Raw genomic sequence first — 19,036 nt, 5'->3', positions numbered from 1 at the left:
GCTTTCTTTATACCACTGCTCTGGAGGTTTAATGGGTATTCCATAGTTGTTTTAATGGGCATTCCATAGTTGGATGCCAGCATGGGCTGTCTCAGGGTGCCTCCAAGGGAACTAGTATGGTGGTTCCTAATGATGCCACCCACCAAAGCCTCCTAGCCTGAAGATAGGCTTCATGCTCACGGGGGAGAGAGCAGGAAGTAAGGCTGAAGAAATGTCTGCTGCAAAGTGAACCAGTTTGTTTTCAGCCAGATGACAGCAATGACAGTGGCAGATTTCACATAGGAAAGACATTGCCATGTGGGTTTAGAGTTACTCCAAGGCACCCAGACTCCAGTCTTTACTTAGGAGGTTAGCAAAGTTAAGTGCAAATTGCAGATGATTCATTATATTCTGATGTCACCATATTGTCCCCAAAGTGCTTTCTCTCAGTTCGATCCTTTCCACAGCCTTGTGAGATAGTTAAGTGTCATTAGTATCCTCATTTTAAGGCATTTGTTCTGCTGACGCCCAATATTGCATTGCTTCCATCATTAGAGATCATCACCCACAGGCAAACTAGACAAGGGCTGTTAGCCAGGCTCTTTAGCTGTTTTGTGCACGTACAAGTTGCTGGAAACCTCAGCTGTAGCATTTGGATTCTGTTGCAAATATGCTCAGAGTTAACAGAGAGGCTGGTTTCTGAATGTGAATGTGAGTGCTGCTCCTTCCATTTTCAGTTACAATTAATTTTACTGTGCACTGAAAAGGTCTCTATATTTTGCTTCAGTAATGAGATGAAGAACAGCTTTTCTAGTAATAGCATCTATCAGTAGCTGCTGAGTAGGTTGTGTTGTGATGCCTGACATATCTTTAGGGCATGCTGTTGTATTGGGGTTTTCATGAGTGGTGCAGATGGGAATGAGCAGTGTCCAACCTGCTTGACTGTACATGGCAGGCACTCTGTCATCAACGGGCAGTCTTTTCCATCAGTATTTTTTGATTATTGCAGTTTCATTTTATACAGTATTTCTTCAAATTAAATAATGCCAACAATGGTATAAAAACATAGTTATATTGCTACACTAAAAGGTAATATTAGTTAACATTATTGAGTGTTTTCTATGGGTGAGAAACTTTATAGCTATTATCTATTTTAATTGGGCTGTGTAATTATATAAATTTGAAAGCAATTTCCTTTTTCTAAATCATTGTCATTTCACTTCTAAAACAAAAAATTATTAAACTTATTAACTGAGCTTTCTGAATATATTCAGGAGGCTTCTCAGATGTGGATGAAGTAAATTAAATTTAGTGAAGCAGTGTAGACAATCTTACTAATTTAGTATTTTGGTGTCTTTGGAAATTCCTTTTTTTTTTAGAGAAAGAGAGAAGTTTGGCTTTAATTAATTTATACAGAATTAGCAACCAGAAAATATAAAAAGAAGACATTTTAATTTCAAAATACTTGCAAGGCTTGTGTTTTACAATTTACACTCAAGATTTTTTTTCCCCCTCAACTTTTAATTTCAAGGGTACGTGTGCAGGATGTGCAGGTTTGTTACATAGGTAAACGTGTGCCATGGTGGTTTGCTACACAGGTCATCCCATCACCTAGGGCTCAGCATCCATTCCTCCTGATGTTCTTCCTCCCCCAACCCCCTGCCGACAGGCCCCAGTGTGTGTTGTTCCTCCCAATATGTCCATGTGTTCTCATCATTCAGCTCCGACTTTTAAGTGAGAACATGCAGTGTTTGGTTTTCTGTTTCTGCATTAGTTTGCTGAGGATAATGACTTCCAACTCCATCCATGTCCCTGCAAAGGACATGATCTCGTTCCTTTTTATGGCTGCATAGTATTCCATGGTATATATGTACCACATTTTCTTTATCCAGCCTATCAGGGATGGGCATTTAGTTTGATTCCATGTCTTTGCTATTATGAATGGTGCTGCAGTGAACATATGCATGCATGTATCTTTATAATAGAATGATTTATATTCCTTTGGGTATAAACCCAGTAATGAGATTGCTGGGTCAAACAGTATTTCTGCCTCCAGGTCTTTAAGGAATCGCCACACTGTCTTCCACAATAGTTGAACCAATTTACCTTCCCACCAACAGTGTAAAAGTGCTCCTTTTTCTCTGCAACCTTGACAGCATTTGTCATTTTTTGACATTTTAATGATAACCATTCTGGCTGGTGTGAGATGATATCTCATATCTCATTGTGGTTTTGATTTGCATTTCTCTAATGATCAGGGATGTTGAGCTTTTTTTTTCATATGTTTGTTGGCCACATGCATGTCTTCTTTTGAGAAGTGTCTGTTTATATCCTTTGCCCACTTTTTAATGGGTTTTTTTTTCCCCTGATAAATTTGTTTAAGTTCCTTGTAGACTGTGGACATTAGACCTTTGTCAGATGGATAGATTGCAAAAATTTTCTCCCATTTTTTAGGTTATCTGTTTGCTCTGATGATGGTTTCTTTTGCTGTGCTCTTTAGTTTAATTAGATCCCATTTGTCAATTTTTGCTTTCGTTGCAATAGCTTTTGGCATTTTCGTCATGAAATCTTTGCCCATGCCTATGTCCTGGATGGTGTTGCCTAGATTTTCTTCTAGGGTTTTTATAGTTTTGGGTTTTACATTTAAGTCTTTAATCCATCTTAAGTTAGTTTTTGTACATGGTGTAAGGAAGGGGTCCATTCCAATTTTCTGCATATGTCTAGCCAGCACTTCCAGCACCATTTATCAAATAGGGAGTCCTTTCCTCATTGCTTGTTTTTGTCAAGTTTTTTGAAGATCAGGTGGTTGTTGGTGTGCAGTCTTATTTCTGAATTCTCTATTCTGTTCCATTGGTCTATGTGTCTGTTTTTATACCATTACTATGCTGTTTTGGTTACTGTAGCCTTGTAGTATAGTTTGAAGTCAGGTAGCATGATGCCTCCAGCTTTGTTCTTTTTGCTTAGGATTGTCTTGGTTATTTGGGCTCTTTTTGGTTCCATACGAATTTTAAAATATTTTTGTTTAATTCTGTGAAGAATCTGAATGGTAGTTCAATGGGAATAGCATTAAATCTCTAAATTACTTTGGGCAGTATGGCCATTTTCACAATATTGAGTCGTCCTATCCGTGAGCATGGAATGTTTTTCCATTTGTGTCATCTCTGATTTCTTTGAGCAGTGGTTTGTAGTTCTCCTTGAAGAGGTCCTTCACTTCCCTTGTTAGCTGTATTTCAAGGTATTTTATTCTTTTTGCAGCAATTTTGAATGGGAGGTTATTCACGATTTGGTTCTCTGCTTGCCTGTTGTTGGTGTATAGGAATGCTAGCTATTTTTGCACATTGATTTTATATCCTGAGACTTTGCTGAAGTTGCTTATCAGCTTAAGGAGATTTGGGGCTGAGACGATGGGGTTTTCTAGATATAGAATCATGTCAAATAAAGATAATTTGACTTCCTCTCTTCATACTTGAATACGCTTTATTTCTTTCTCTTGCCTGATTGCGCTGGCCAGAACTTCCAATACTCTGTCAAATGGGAGTGGTGAAAGAGGGCATCCTTGTCTTGTGCTGGTTTTCAGGGGGAATGCTTCCAGCTTTTGCCTATTTAGTATGATAGTGGCTGTGGGTTTATCACATATGGCTCTTATCATTTTGAGGTATGTTCCTTCATTACTTAGTTTATTGAGAGTTTTTAACATGAAGGGAAGTTGAATTTTATTGGAGGCCTTTACTGCATATATTGAGATAATCATGTGTCTTTTGTCTGTAGCTCTGTTTATGTGATGAATTACAGTTATTGATTTGTGTATGTTGAACCAACCTTGCATCCTGGGAATGAAACCAACTTGACTGTGGTGGATAAGCCTTTCGATATGCTGCTGGATTCAGTTTGCCAGTATTTTATTGAGGAGTTTTGCATCAATGTTCATCAAGGATATTGGCCCGAAGTTTACTTTTTTCGTTGTATCTCTGCCAGGTTTCGGTATAGGATGATGCTGCCCTCATAAAATGAGTTAGGTAAAAGTCCTTCCTTTTCATCTTTTAGGAATACTTTCAGTATAAATGGTACCAGCTTTTCTTTGTACCTCTGGTAGAATTCAGTTTCAGTTCTGAATCTGTCTTGTCCTGGGCTTTTTTATATTGGTAGGCTATTTATTACAGCCTCAATTTCAGAACCATTATTGATCTATTCAGATATTCAGTTTCTCTCTGTTCTGTCTTGGGAAGGTGTATGTGTCCAGGAATTTATCCATTTCTTCTAGATTTTCTAGTTCATGTGCATAGAGGTATTTGTAGTATTTTCTGATGGTTGTTTGTATTTCTGTGGGGTCAGTGGTGATATCCCCCTTACCATTTCAGATTGTGTTTATTTGACTCTTCTATTTTTTCTTTATTAGTCTAGCTAGTCTATCTAGTTTATTTTTTTCTAAAATTCAGCGTCTAGATTCATTGACTTTTTGAATTTTTTTTTTTATGCCTCTATCTCCTTCACTTCTCTCTGATCTTGGTTATTTCTTGTCTTCTGCTAGCTTTGGGGTTTGTTTGCACTTGGTTCTCTAGTTCTTTTAGTTGAGATGTTACCTTGTTAACTTGAGATCTTTCTAGCTTTTTGTTTTTTGTTTTTGTAAGTGAAAGGTATTTGGAATTTTATTGTGCAATTCTTACAACTTTATTATAAATTTGAAATATTTTTAAAATATTAAAAATATATTAAAAACCAGTGATTCCTCTCAGTTGTTTTTGAAAGTTTCTTTTATTATTTTTTTTATTATCATACTTTAAGTTCTAGGGTACGTGTGCACAACATGCAGGTTTGTTACATATGTATACATGTGCCATGTTGGTGTACTGCACCCATTAACTTGTCATTTACATTAGGTATATCTCCTAATGCTATCCCTCCCCCTTCCCCCTACCCCATGACAGGCCCCAGTGTGTGATGTTCCCCTTCCTGTGTTCAAGTGTTCTCATTGTTCAATTCCCACCTATGAGTGAGAACATGTGGTGTTTGGTTTTTTGTCCTTGTGATAGTTTGCTGAGAATGATGGTTTCCGGCTTCATCCATGTCCCTACAAAGGACATGAACTCATCATTTTTTATGGCTGCATAGTATTCCATGGTGTATATGTGCCACATTTTCTTAATCCAGTCTATCATTGATGGACATTTGGGTTGGTTCCAAGTCTTTGCCAGTGTGAATAGTGCCACAATAAACATATGTATGCATGTGTCTTTATAGCAGCATGATTTATAATCCTTTGGGTATATACCCAATAATGGGATGGCTGGGTCAAATGGTATTTCTAGTTCTAGATCCTTGAGGAATTGCCACACTGTCTTCCACAATGGTTGAATTAGCTTACAGTCCCACCAACAGTGTCAAAGTGTTCCTATTTCTCCACATCCTCTCCAGCACCTGTTGTTTCCTGACTTTTTAATGATCGCCATTCTAACTGGTGTGAGATGGTATCTCATTGTGGTTTTGATTTGCATTTCTCTGATGGCCAGTGACGATGAGCATTTTTTCATGTGTCTGTTGGCTGCATTAATGTCTTCTTTTGAGAAGTGTCTGTTCATATCTTTTGCCCACTTTTTGATGGGGTTGTTTGTTTTTGAGATCTTTCTAGCTTTTTGATGTGGGCATTATAAATTTCCTGCTTAATGCTGTTTTAGCTGTATCCCAGAGATTCTGGTACATTGTCTCTTTGTTCTCATTAGTTTCAAAGAACTTCTTGATTTCTGCCTTAATTTTATTATTTACCCAAGAGTCATTCAGTAACAGGTTGTTCAATTTCCATGTAGTTGTGTGGTTTTGAATGAATTTCTTAATCTTGAGTTTTAATTTGATTGCACTGTGGGCTGACAGACTGTTACGATTTCAGTTCTTTTGCATTTCTTGGAGAGTGTTTTACTTCCAATTATGTGATCAATTTTAGAGTAAGTCTCATGTGGCAATAAGAATATATCTTCTTTTTAATTTAGGTGGAGATTTCTGTAGATATCTACCATGTCCACTTGATCTGGAGCTGAGTTCAGGTCCTGAATATCTTTGTTAATTTTCTTTCTCCATGATCTATCTAATATTGTCAGTGGAGTGTTAAAGTCTCCCACTATTATTGTGTAGAGTCTAAGTCTCTAAGCACTTGCTTTTGTAGGTCTCATAAAGCACTTGCTTTATGAATCTGGGTGCTCCTGTATTGGGTGCATATATATTTAGGATAGTTAGCTCTTCCTGTTGAACTCTATCATTATGTAATGACCTCCTTTGTCTTTTTTGATCTTTGTTGGTTTAAAGTCTGTTTTGTCAGAATCTAGGATTGCAACCCCTGCTTTTTTTCTGTTTTCCATTTGCTTGGTACATTTTCCTTCATCCCTTTATTTTGAGCCTATGTGTGTCTTTGCACGTGAGATGGGTCTCTTGAAGACAGCATATTGATGGGTCTTGGCTCTTTTCCCAGTTTGCCATTCAGTTTCTTTTACTTGGGGCATTTAGCCCATTTACATTTAAGGTTAGTATTGTTATGTGTGAATTTGATCCTGTCATGATGCTAGTTGGTTATTTTGCAGACTTGTTTATATGGTTGGTTCACAGTATCACCAGTCTGTGTAGTTCAGTGTGTTTTTGTAGTGGCTGGAAATGGTTTTTCCTTTCCATATTTAGTACTTCCTTCAGGAGCTCTTGCAAGGCTGGTACAGTGGTGACAAATTCCCTCAGCATTTGCTTTTCTAAAAAGAATCTTGTTTTTCCTTCACTTATGAAGCTTAGTTTGGCCAAAGATGAAATTCTGGGTTGGAAGTTCTTTTCTTTAAGAATGTTGAATATTGGCCCCCAATCTCTTCTTGCTTGTAGGGTTTCTGCTGAGCTGCTGTTAGTCTGATGAGTTTCCCTTTGTAGATGACCTGGCCTTTCTCTCTGGTTGCCCTTAACATTTCTTCTTTCATTTCGAACTTGGAGAATCTGATGATTATATGTCTTGGGGATGATCTTCTTGTGGAGTAATGTACTGGGGTTCTCTGCATTTCCTGAGTTTGAATGGTGGCAGGTCTTGCTAGGTTGGGGAAGTTCTCCTGGATGATATCCTGAAGTATATTTTCTAACTTGGTTCCATTCTTCCTGTATCTTTCAGTTACCTCAGTCAGAATCAGGGATAGGTTCAGGCTCTTCACATAATCGCATATTTCTCAGAGGTTTTGTTCATTATTTTTTATTCCTTTTACTCTATTCTTGTCTGCCTGTCTTATTTCAGAAAGATAGTCTTCAAGCTCTAAGATTCTTTGCTCAACTTGGTCTATTCTGCTACTGATACTTGTGATTTCATTGTGAAGTTCTCGTGTTGTGTTTTTCAGCTCCATCAGGTCCATTATGTTCCTCTCTAACCTGGCTATTCTGGCTATCAGCCCCTGTATTGTATCATTGTGAGTCTTACCTTCTTTGCATTGGGTTAGAACATACTCCTTTAGCTCAGTGATGTTCGTTATTACCCACCTTCTGAAGCCTACTTCTGTCAATTCATCCATCTCAGCCTTAGCCCAGTTCTGTGCCCTTGCTAGAGAGATATTGTGGTCATTTGGATGAGAAGAGGCATTATGGTTTTTTCAGTTTTCAGTGTTTTTGCATTGATTGTTTTCATCTTTGTGGGCTTATCTATCTTCGATCTTTATGGTTGCTGACCTTTGAATGAAGTTTTTGTGGGGTCTTTTTTGTTGATGTTGTTGTTTTCTGTTTGTTTGTTTTTCTTTTAACAGTCAGGCCACTCTACTCTAGGGCTGCTGCAGTTTGCTGGTGCTGTGCTTCAGACTCCAGTTGCCTTAGTTTCTTCTATCCCTGTAGGTATCACCAGTGAAGGCTATGAAACAGCAAAGATGGCAGCCAGCTTCTTCCACTGGAAGCTCCATCCCAGGGGTGTACTGACTTGTTGCTGGCCTGCATGCACCTGTAGGAGGTGGCTGGAGACCACCTGTTGTGAGTTCCCACTCAGTCAGTAGGACTGGGCTCACAGACCCACCCAAAGAAGCAGTCTGACCTCTTTTTGGTAGAGCATGTGTGCTGCATTGGCCAGGATCCTTTCTCATTCACACTGCCTCTGTTTCCAAAGCAGGCAGACTGGAACAGCTGAGTGGACCAAACCACAGAAATGGTGGCTGCCCCTTCCCCTGGGAGCTCCATCTCAGGGAGAGATCAAAGCTCTGTCTGTAGAACCCTGGCTGGAATGGGTGAAGCCCCCACAAGGAAGTCCTATCCAGTGAGGAGAAATGGATTGGGGTCCCACTTAAGAAAGCTGTCCAGCCACAATCTGGCAAGACAGCTGTGCTACATTGTGGGGTACCCTTCCTCTTCTGGTCTATCTCTGTTCTCCACAGCCAGCAGGCTGGAGCAACTGAGTCAACTAAGCTGCATAGATGGTAGCCATCCCTTTCCCCAGGAACTTAGACCCACCTCAAGCAGACTCCAACCTACTGCCATTAGCTGGCTGGGATTCCAAGCCAGTGGGTCTTAACTTGTGAGGTGCCATGGAAGTGGGGCCCACAGAATGAGGCTACCTGGGTCCCTGGATTCAACCACCTTCCTAGGGATATGTACAGATAGATTTCCTGCCTTGCCAGGGATCCTGGGGCCAGAGTATGTAAAACTCCTGGGTCTCTGTGTGTGCCTGAGTGGCTGCTCTGCCGAGACTCCACACAGCTCTGTGTATCAGACCCAAGGCCCTGGTGGCCTGGGCTCATAAGGGCATCTCCTGATCCGCAGGTTGCAAAGATCCAAAGGAGAAGTGTGGTTTCCTGGGTGGGGTCACACAATCACTCAACACTGCACTTGGCTGGGGGTCGGGGTGGGGTCTCCTTTGCTTCTGTGCATCTTCCAGGTGGGCCATCACCCCCTCTTCTGCTTTTCTTTATTCTCTGTGGGTTGAGTTGTTTGCCCAGTCAGTCCCAATGCGAGAACCTGGGTATCTCAGTTTGAAGGTGCTGCATTTACTAGCCCCTTTTTATTCATCTCCATGAGTGCTGCAGACCACAGCTGCCTCTAATTGGCCAGCTTGGGTTCCAGCGTTCTGAGTACCTGTTTTTAAGTCTTTGGAGTATGTACCTGGGAGTGGTATTGCTGGGTCATCTGATAACTTTATGTTTGATTTTTTGAGGAACTGTCAATTTTTTTCTCACAATGGCCAGAACCAATTATAGTTTCACTGGCAATATGCAGGGTTCTAATGTCTTCACATCCTCACCAACACTTGTTATTTTCAGTTTTTAAAAAAGCTGTTGCCATCTGAGTAGGCATAAAGTAGCATCTTATTGTGGTTTTGACTTGCATTTCCCTAATGATTAATGATGTTCAGCATACTTTCATGTGCTTGTTGACCTTTTGTATATTTCTTGTATTTTTATGGTATTTTTCATTTGGACTTCTCAGTGCTATCAGACTAGAGCTATCATGAAATATCTGTTGATTTTTGAATGCTAAAACCAGTAAGTTATGCCTGTACACCTTGAAGAGAGAAAAATCACATAATAGATTCATTAAAAGCTGGTTTATGGTTCCCGAAATGCACCTGGCTGCCATTTTGATTGTATGGTAGATCCATCCTGGAGGACACTTCTTTGATGCTAACTTTATTTCCCACTATGGATCCAAGACTCAAAATTAGCAGAGTTAGCCCTAGGTCTGACCATAGGTAACTCGATTTCCCATCAGTAAAATGAGGCATTGAGAAACACCTCTCTCTCAATAAACATTAGAAAAAGTTCTTACCCTTTGATTAAGCAATTTCCCTTCTAGCATCTATCTATAGCAAATGAACTAAAACAAGAGGGGAAAAAAAGCTTTATATGTAAAGATGTCTCATAGCATTTTCTCCTTACAACTGCAAAGCAATCTAAATGTTTGACAATAGGCAACTAATTTATTGCATAACTAAATAAAAAATTTGGCAGCTTTTATAAATAATACCAATGGGAATTTGTTTAAACATAGAAAATATTTATGTTAAAATTTTAAATGCAAGGAGCATGATTTAAGCTTGGGTATATAATATGATTGCAAATATATAAAACTAGAACACAAAATTGTGTCTAGAATGAAGACTAGAAAGCAATACATCAGAATAATAAAGAGATTGTCATTGAATGACAGATTCTGTTGTTTTACTATAATATATCGGGTGATATTGTTGACCTCTAAAAAAACAGTGCTCATAATTATAATAGTGAATTTATTGTCATTTTATTCAAGCAAACATGGCCAAGGTTCAAGGTTTGCAGATCAAAATTGCACACCTAAATGTTGTAAATATTGCCAACCATTTGAGAAGTGTTGGTTAGTTTGAGTTTAGCATGTTGACCTTTGAACTTATGGTACAGGGTCTTTTACTATAATACGACTTTGTTACAACTTAGGATACCACAGAATAATTTCATAGATTGCTTGAATCCCATTAGTTTTTTGTTTTTCTGTTTCTTCCTGCAGATTTTTGTGGGAAAATCTGAAATTTTAAATTTAGAAAAAAAAATGTCTCTTTACAGGTGTTCCATTGCCTAAAGAGGAGAACATTTCTGCTCCCTTGATCTCCAGCTCCCCAGTGAAGGCAGCCCGGGAGTATGAAGATCCCCCTAGTGAAGAGGAAGATAAAATAAAAGAAGAACCTTTAACCATCTCTGAACTAGTGTACAACCCAAGTGCCAGCCTGCTCCCCACCCCTGTGGATGACGATGAGATTGACATGCTCTTTGACTGTCCTTCTAGGCTTGAGTTGGAAAGAGAAGACACAGATTCATTTGAGGATCTGGAAGCAGATGAAAACGCCTTTTTGATTGCTGAAGAAGAGGAGCTGAAGGAGGCTCGCCGTGCTTTGTCGTGGAGCTATGACATTCTGACTGGCCATATTCGGGTGAACCCACTGGTCAAGAGTTTTTCCAGGCTCCTTGTGGTGGGCCTGGGACTGCTGCTCTTTGTATTTCCCCTGCTCCTCCTCCTTTTGGAGTCAGGTATTGATCTCTCCTTCTTATGCGAAATCCGCCAGACACCAGAGTTTGAGCAGTTTCACTATGAATACTACTGTCCCCTCAAGGAGTGGGTGGCTGGGAAAGTCCACCTCATCCTCTACATGCTGGGTTGCTCATGAAGTTAATCTCTCACGTGACTAAGGGCTATATTCAATGCTAGTGATTTCTTTTTTTCAGCAAATGCCTGGTTCTGAAGGGTCACGGGGCTGTCAACAGGTGTTCCTTACTCATAATTGATTATTCAAACCTTTAAGTTAGCTTTCCATAATTCACTGCACTTAAATAAGTTTAAATCAAATACAGTTATTTTAGTTACAGGTTAGGAAGATGGTCTTTAAATAACCAAAAATATGTTTATTTTTTATTATAGTGTAGACATACCCTTCATCTATTATATCATAATACATGTTACATTGGACTGAATTAGATTTTCCCATTTCTAATAGTTGGCACCATTATAAGCTATAAGGTTCAGAATCAGAATTTTAGTAACAACTCAAGAGAAAGTTGTTGAATATAATCCTTAGTGAAAACAGTGTCCTCTAACCAATGCCTATACAACTAAATTTATGCTGGGTTTTTGGTTCTGTTTTTTTAAAAATATTTTTATGTGTTCAAACTATTTTGGTAAATTTTTAGCAAAAAAAAAAAAGAAGCCTCCTGGAGTTATTTACATGTACAGATTGTAAGACTAATGCACAAAAGGTATATCAGAATTTTTTTAATGTTTTGGCGCTACTTTGTTTTTAAAAATATTTTTGGCTGAACAATACCATAATTTGTTATGATCTGCATAGGAGATAGAAAATGGGTAGAAAGACACTATAGTAAGTAAGCTGCTAAAACAGAGGATGGAACTGGAGGATGTAGAAACTGAGAGCATCAAGTGGACTCAGGGTGGTCCATTTTTCAAAGTATTTGGACAAGAGGACTTGTTATTTTCATTTGTATTCTGTCCGTATATTTTGGCTGGAGAAGCAGATGTTTTAAAAAGAAAGTGAGAGTTTAAAGGAAAAAAGGTAACAGATGTGCTAGTCAGTTGCATATCAATGTACATTAACCCAAGAGTGAAGGCAGATAGGAACTGGAGAAATGGAAAGTGGCAAAAATGAGTTCTGGTGAGGCTGGCAGGCAAATGGTGACAGGCGAATGGTCTATTTTATGAAAGTGATGGTGATGCCAGCGTTCGATGATGTGAAGAGCAGTGCAGTCGCTGTCTGAGTTAACATGAACATGTTTAAGTGGATCTAAATAAAAGTGGAGAAACTTTAAGGTAAATATTTTGATCCCTCATGCCATTTGTTGTGATTCTGTAGAAGAAACTTCAAAAATGTGTTTGTATGTGAGTGTGCGTGTGTGTGTGTGTGAGAGAGAGAGAGAGAGAGAGAGAGAGAATATGAATGGCTTTTTGATACATGTCCATGATCATGTTTTGCGGTGGTCATTATACTCCTTTCCTTTCCCAGTTGTTTTAAAATTTGACTTCCATAGAGAAACTGGAGAGGCCTCATGAGATGACATACCAGTTCAGCCTGGGTAAAGTAGTGACATGACCCTAACCAGACTGTAGAGGGGACCAGTGCTCTAGTACCTTCCTTGATACCATTAAATCCATGATGGAAAGGATTTAATCCAACAATTTAATGGTATCAAGGAAGGTACTAGAGCATTGTACCATCAGCAACGTACTGATGCCTTCCCATGCAGACTACCTGCTGATACTGTGTTATGTGGGAGAAAGATAAGAGTCTAGAACTTATGCCATGGAGCATAGAGCTTCTCTGTGGATTGAAAACATTCCACTGCCCTAATGTACAAAGTTACAGGGCCCACTTGGAATCGCTCTCTCTAGCTAATGACATTCCAACCCTATCATTAGCATGATTTCTAAATTGGGCAATACATTTCCACTCACTCAGTGGAGCTCTGAGTACTTCACTGGACATTTAATTTTGGAAATGAGTTTTGAAACTCAGTTCGTGAAGCCTGCAGTCGAGCAAATGACTATATATTTGCCATTAAGTTTGAGGGGTTTCCTTTCCTATATGCTTTCAGTGATTTATTTTGCTTTTTAAATAAAGATTGTTTGTTTATTACCTGAAAGTTGATACTGATTTAGGAATATATTTTCTGTGATTGGAATCCTCAACAATTTATTTTGGAAGCTTGCAGATGGCTAGGTTTGAAATTGAAATTTGTGTTTTTCTCCTTCTTTTCTCATACGACTTCTAAGTCATCCTTTCTGACATAAGGCAACTTTAGTGTAGTCTGCACAAAATTAGTCCCCTTCTGATCATGCGTCATATAATTTTCTCTAAAGTTCTGACTATGACAAATCATCTGGCCCTCAGTCTTTCAAAATAATATTATATAATATTTTTTAAATTATGGAACTAATATATTTTCCATTGTAAAATACTTAAAAAATATGATAGTATAAATATCACATGTAATCCAACGATGCAGATTTATCTTAAGGAGTAATAAATATATTATTTTAACATTTCCAGCTAACATCTCTTTTCTCTTAGGTGGAAACTTCATTGTTGAATAGAAATGTTTTTAAGTGAAGAAGTTGACAGAATAGGGTCTGCTGAATTTAAACAGCCATCAAAAGTTAAACTGGAATCTTGAAATGCCATTTGCTCGGCATAGAATCAGAGCCTTTTAGAAACATCCATTTAAGTTTTGTTAGAAGATAGTCACCAGTTGCCTGAATCGAATGAGGAAAAGCCTGCTTCCAGAGATGGACAGTATATTATAGAGTGAGATATAGAGTTTAAAGCAAGTGTGTGAGTATATGTATATTCCATATTATTGGTATATGTGTGTTTATATATGAATCTGTATATATGTGTGTCTTTGAATAGACACAACATATATGCCCCTCATGCATAATTGTGCTTATTTTGCCCTAATTGAGGAATTTGAGATGTATTATTGGTTCTTCTCCCTCTCAGATACTATGGTGGGTAAAACCCACAGCCTGAAAGGGTTAAATTTTCCATAAATGCCACTGAGTGTACATTTGTGGATATAAATAAATATATATAATACACACACACATATGGCAAATACATATACACACACAATATTGCCTTTAGTGCTAATGCAAGTTGGATCATGAAAACAATGTAGGTAAAGTAAAGTATGTATTTGTCTGTGCTTGAAAAATATTGTAAAATGTTATGTATTTGGAATATATTTTGTGGTTTGTCTAATATTTATAAACACAACTCGGGGTGAATTCACAATGAGTTTATTTCATTGAAATACTAGAGATATGGGGGCCATGTTACTGTGATTGGAGCCTTACCTTTGTATAGTGAAATTTGCATTTCTATGTCAACATCCAGATTGTTTTATATGTTAATATGGTGGCAGGAATCCCTAATAAAAATACTCTGGGGTAAAATTTTTTGCAATCATTCAGTTTTATTTAAAGTAAAGTTGTATAGTCAGGTTGTTGGAAACTATAAAAGGATTCCCTCTAGGACCATGAAATGAGGTCAACATATAATGGTGATAGTATTAAAAAAAAAAATCCCAGGTAATAGATTAGATTAACCCTTTGCAGAAGTCATCCAGGCCCAAAGCAGGAATACTAGCACTGAAAATATGCTCAAACATAAAATAAACCTTGATCTAATTCATGATATTAAGTTAACCAGAGAAATAGAAAAGCACAGAAAAAATAATAGAAGAGGGGTATTCTGACTGACAGATAGGAGCATGGATTTCAGAGTGCTAGAAATTAATATGTTATCATCACTGGCCAGAAAAGGGTGCCTTCCCACGCCAGAGAGAGCTGCATGAGACTCAACTCTGTGACACTTGCCATTAAACTTCTCTATCTGTTCACGCACCTTGGAGGAATCTCACGATTCCACTTTTTTTTTTTTGAGATGATGATGGAGTTTTGCTCTTGTTGCCCAGGCTGGAGTGCAATGGCACGATCACGGCTCACCGCAACCTCCTCCTCCTGGGTTCAAGCAATTCTCCTGCCTCAGCTTCCTGAGTAGCTGGAATTACAGGCATGCACCACCACATCCAGCTAATTTTTTGTATTTTCAGTAGAGGTTGGGTTCCTCCGTGTTGGTCAGGCTGGTCATGATTCCACTTCTATCCTCCCCTCTGCCCAGCGTAGCCTTGACAGGTCTTCTGCTTAGGTTTGGCGCAAAGCTAACAACTCCATACCTAACAGTTAAACCAAAAGGTGTTACTTGGAATGAAACAAAAGGGGTAGGGGAGTTCTCTTAATTGCAGGAATACAATAGAAGTCAAGCAGAATTGGCCCTTAGCTATGGTGGCCTCATGCCTTATTCAGCAGTCCTTAGAAGTACAGGCTCTAGACTACAGGCAAGAAAAGGAATTCAGTGATTAGCATTCAGATGTGAGGAAGCTTACGGACCTATAGTTCTGACTCCAGCATCTCAAGCCAGTGCCTTTGGGTTAGTGTCTGCTGACCCAAAAGGCTCACACAAAATGGCGGTTGGCCACTTACTCACTGAGCAGTTCATTGAACTCCTGACCCATTGTCACTGCCTGGAGGAAACTCTTGCTTTATTCCTACATTTTCTCCTTAGCCAAATAGAGGAAGACTCTCCCACCAACATTCCCACCCTGGAGAAAAAGTACTGGGGAGAGTCTTCCACCCCTGGGGTGACTTCTGGGATGGTTGTGGTTGACAGGGCTTGAGTCCCTCTGGGCCACTCTCTACAGGGTGGAGACAATGTGCTGAAGGTCGCTGCTTACTTGTCCTCCTGCTTCTTTTCTCTCTCCCTCTCTCCTTTTCTCTTGGACCTGCATCTGGGCTTCCAGTCTCCATGCAGTAAACAGACCCAGCAGAACCTGCCCGTGGTGAGCTCAGCCAAGACTTGGCTCTCCATGTTCCAGCCTCCGTCTGTGACTGGGTGGGTAAGTTCGGTGGGCCCCACCCAGTGGGCTCGGCAGCCGTCACTTCACAGAAGAAGAAAGGAACCTTGCTTAGGCCTCAGATCCCAGCTGTGCTCTCCAATCCATTAATAAAGCTGCTTTTAACCCTCTCCTGGCCATTGTATCTATTATCTACTGGGAACTGGGGTGGCGGCAGGGATGGTGGTGAATATTTTGGATCTCGGCAACCTCCAATGTTACAAGCAAGGAGAGAGTGGAGAAGGATGCTCCTGGCTGAACCTCAGGCATCAGGGGATGGTCTGCCACTGACATCAGCCCTGAGAGTTCTTGCCAATGGGTGAGAGAGCTTATCCGTTATTATCAGTAAAGAACAGAAGGTTGGTTGGAATCACACATCCCTATTCTTTACCTTTAGTTGATGCTTATTCCAAATTTCTCTCTGGAAAGGGAACTGAGGCCATTTTCAATGTTATAAAGGAAAACTCTTAGTAGGACAAAAGTATGCTTTCTTTGGGTACCAAGTACTGAAACATGGCTTGCAAATTCCAGCAGCTTCTCCAGAAAAAACACCCATTGCCTGATTCCTCTCACCCACAGACTTATGATTATGATCATTGTCTTTCCACGGAGACCACCCTTCAAGGGTGAGAACACACAAACTAACATTAGTTTCTACTTCCCTTGGCAGCTACATTCTTCATAAGTTAGGAAGTTAGTGTTCTGATTTAAGCATCCGTCTCTTGGAATTTCCTTGGTTTGAATCAACTCCCATCCTCTCCTCAATCAGCCTGAGTTTCCTAACACCCTGATTTTCTGGTTCTGCAAGGTTGTGAACCAGACCCTGAAGAGGGGTGGCCACACAAAGGCACTGCTCCCAGCTCATAGGGTTACCATATAATTTATCATTCAAACCTGAACTCCTTTGGGAGTAAAAGGGGATGTTTTTAATGATGATGTCATAGCAACAGGTGTTACTAGGACTGTTCCAGGCACTCGACCTGTAAGACTTTGCCTGATTAACTAGATGCCTTCTCTCAAAAACTCCTGCAGTATGTTTCTCTATAGTGTTGACAAAATAAAATAGGGAAGAATTGTTGCTCTATAGTTGTTCTACTTCCCATCAAGAGTCAGATTAAAATTCACCAAAATTCATTACATCGTGTTTTGATGTGAGAGTATAAATTACAGAGAAGATCATTTTATGTGACCTTCTGGCATTAATGCTACATACCCAATTTGTTTGTTTGTTGTTGTTGTTTGTTTGTTTTTTGAGACAGTGTCTCACTCTGTTCTCCAGGCTGGAGTGCATTGGTGTGATCTTGGCTCACTGCAACCTCCGCCTCCCCAGTTCAAGCGATTCTCATGCCTCAGCCTCCCCAGTAGCTAGGATTACAGGCGTGCGCCACCATGCCCAGCTAATTTTAGTATTTTTAGTAGACGGGGATTTCACCATGCTGGCCAGGCTGGTCTCCAACTCCTGACCTCAAGTGAGCCGCCCACCTCGGCCTCTCAAAGTGCTGGGATTATAGGCATGAGCCACTGTGCCCGGACTCAATTTGTTTACCATTAATATTACTTAATTTCTTGTTTAATGTGAGGTAGGAAGACAGAATAATCTCAATGCTGTTTTTACGTTCATACTGCTCAATTTAACATTTATGATCTGCACATTCAGAACACTAACGATCAGTTTAACTGTGAGCAACTGACTCACACTAAATACACTGAAGACTTAGTTTCACAGAAAGCCAACTTGATCATTTATAATGAGAAGTGTCAGTTTTCTGGGCATTTGTTTGAAGCCAAATGTTCCATACACACTCTTCCCAGAACATAAGCTGTAATGTAAACCAAACACTATCAATGAGTACAAGGAATCACACCTAAAAAGCTGCCTTTCAGAAAGTCTGCCCCAACAGGCCAGATGTTCCCACATCTCTGCCTGTCTCAAGAGGCCCGGAGATACATTGTACACATTTTACTCCAAATCCCCCACTTTTGCAAATTTCTTATGGCAGAGGCTGGCAGCTAATCATCAAAACCATTTCCTCTTCTTCCTGCCATAAGATTAGACTACATTTCCTAGTTCTCCCCTACCCTATTTAGTTCAATGTGGCTATATCCCTGAGTCTTGGCCAATAGAATTTGAATAAGTAATTATATTGCTTCCAAGCCTTTGGCTAGTTGTCAGCCTCCATCTGTCACTAAATGTCCACACTTAAAGTGACCTTTAAGCTCCCAGTCGAGGATGTCAAAGCTGCCAGAAACTTAGAACCTTGAATGACTCTGTGGAGCAGAGCACTTACTTGTCTTAGTCCGTTTTGCGTTGCTATAACAGAATACCTGAGACTGGGTAATGTATAAAGAACAGAAATTTATTGGCTCATGGTTCCAGAGGCTGAACTCAGCAAACTGAATCCAGAAACACGTGGGAAGGATTATATACTATGATCAAATGGGAAGTTCAATATTGAGGGGACACATCTGTTGAGGGCCTTCTTGCTGCATCATAGCATGGTTGAAGGCATCACACAGATGAGAGACAGAGAAGGGAACAGGGCCAAAATCATCTTTTTATCAGGAAACCACTCCTTTGATAACAACATGATTATATTCCTGAGAACAGAGCCCTCAGGACCAAATCACATTTTAAAGGTTCCACCTCTCAATTTTGTTACATTGGGGATTAAGAGAATAGAAAAACAATAGGTAAAATCTATAAAACCAAAAGTTCGTTCTTTAAAATGAAAAATGCCAATAAAATGAACAAGCCTTTAGCTAGATTAACCAAGGTAAAAAGACAGTATTAAAATTACTAAAACCAGGAATGAAATAGAGGATGTCATTATGGACCTTCCAGAAATAAAAAGGAATATAAGGAAACACTATGAAAAGTTGTGTATTAACAATTTATCTAACCTAGACAAAACAGAAAAACTTCTTGAGGGACACAAACTAACTTACAAAGAGATGGAAAATTGCAATAGATCTATAACAAGTAAAAGATTGAATTAGTAATAAAAAATTATTTCTTCAATGAAAAGTGCAGGTGATGATAGCTACACTGGTCAATCATACCAAACTCTTAAAAAACAAACAGCACTTCACAAACTGCCAAAAAACAGAAGGGAGGGGGCAATTCCCCATGCTCTGAGGTCAGTATC

At 39.4% G+C, this 19,036-nt stretch overlaps 1 protein-coding gene and 1 long non-coding RNA gene across 14 annotated transcripts in view; one reads left to right on the top strand and one right to left on the bottom strand.

The window, feature by feature from the left end:
* Positions 1-16,021, top strand: part of FRMD3 (FERM domain containing 3) — a 342,803-nt gene extending 326,782 nt beyond the window's left edge. For 10 of the 13 annotated variants that reach the window (XM_024447487.2, XM_047423155.1, XM_017014588.2 and 7 more), the window contains one exon: positions 10,497-14,391. In XM_024447487.2, the coding sequence (XP_024303255.1) occupies positions 10,497-11,095 (599 nt within the window). In that variant the 3' untranslated portion in view covers positions 11,096-14,391. Of the gene's footprint in view, positions 1-10,496; positions 14,392-15,797 lie in introns of those variants that run through there. The other 3 variants (NM_001244959.2, NM_001244961.2, NM_001244962.2) reach the window with 1 other exon arrangement.
* Positions 1-19,036, bottom strand: part of FRMD3-AS1 (FRMD3 antisense RNA 1) — a 51,489-nt gene that overhangs the window by 11,821 nt on the left and 20,632 nt on the right. The gene's annotated exons all lie outside the window — the stretch shown is intronic.

The sequence above is a fragment of the Homo sapiens genome, chromosome 9, assembly GCF_000001405.40.
Source record: "Homo sapiens chromosome 9, GRCh38.p14 Primary Assembly".
Taxonomy (NCBI): Eukaryota; Metazoa; Chordata; class Mammalia; order Primates; family Hominidae; genus Homo; species Homo sapiens.
The sequence above is the reverse complement of the archived record's forward strand: the minus strand, read 5'-3'. Positions and strand labels throughout refer to the sequence as shown.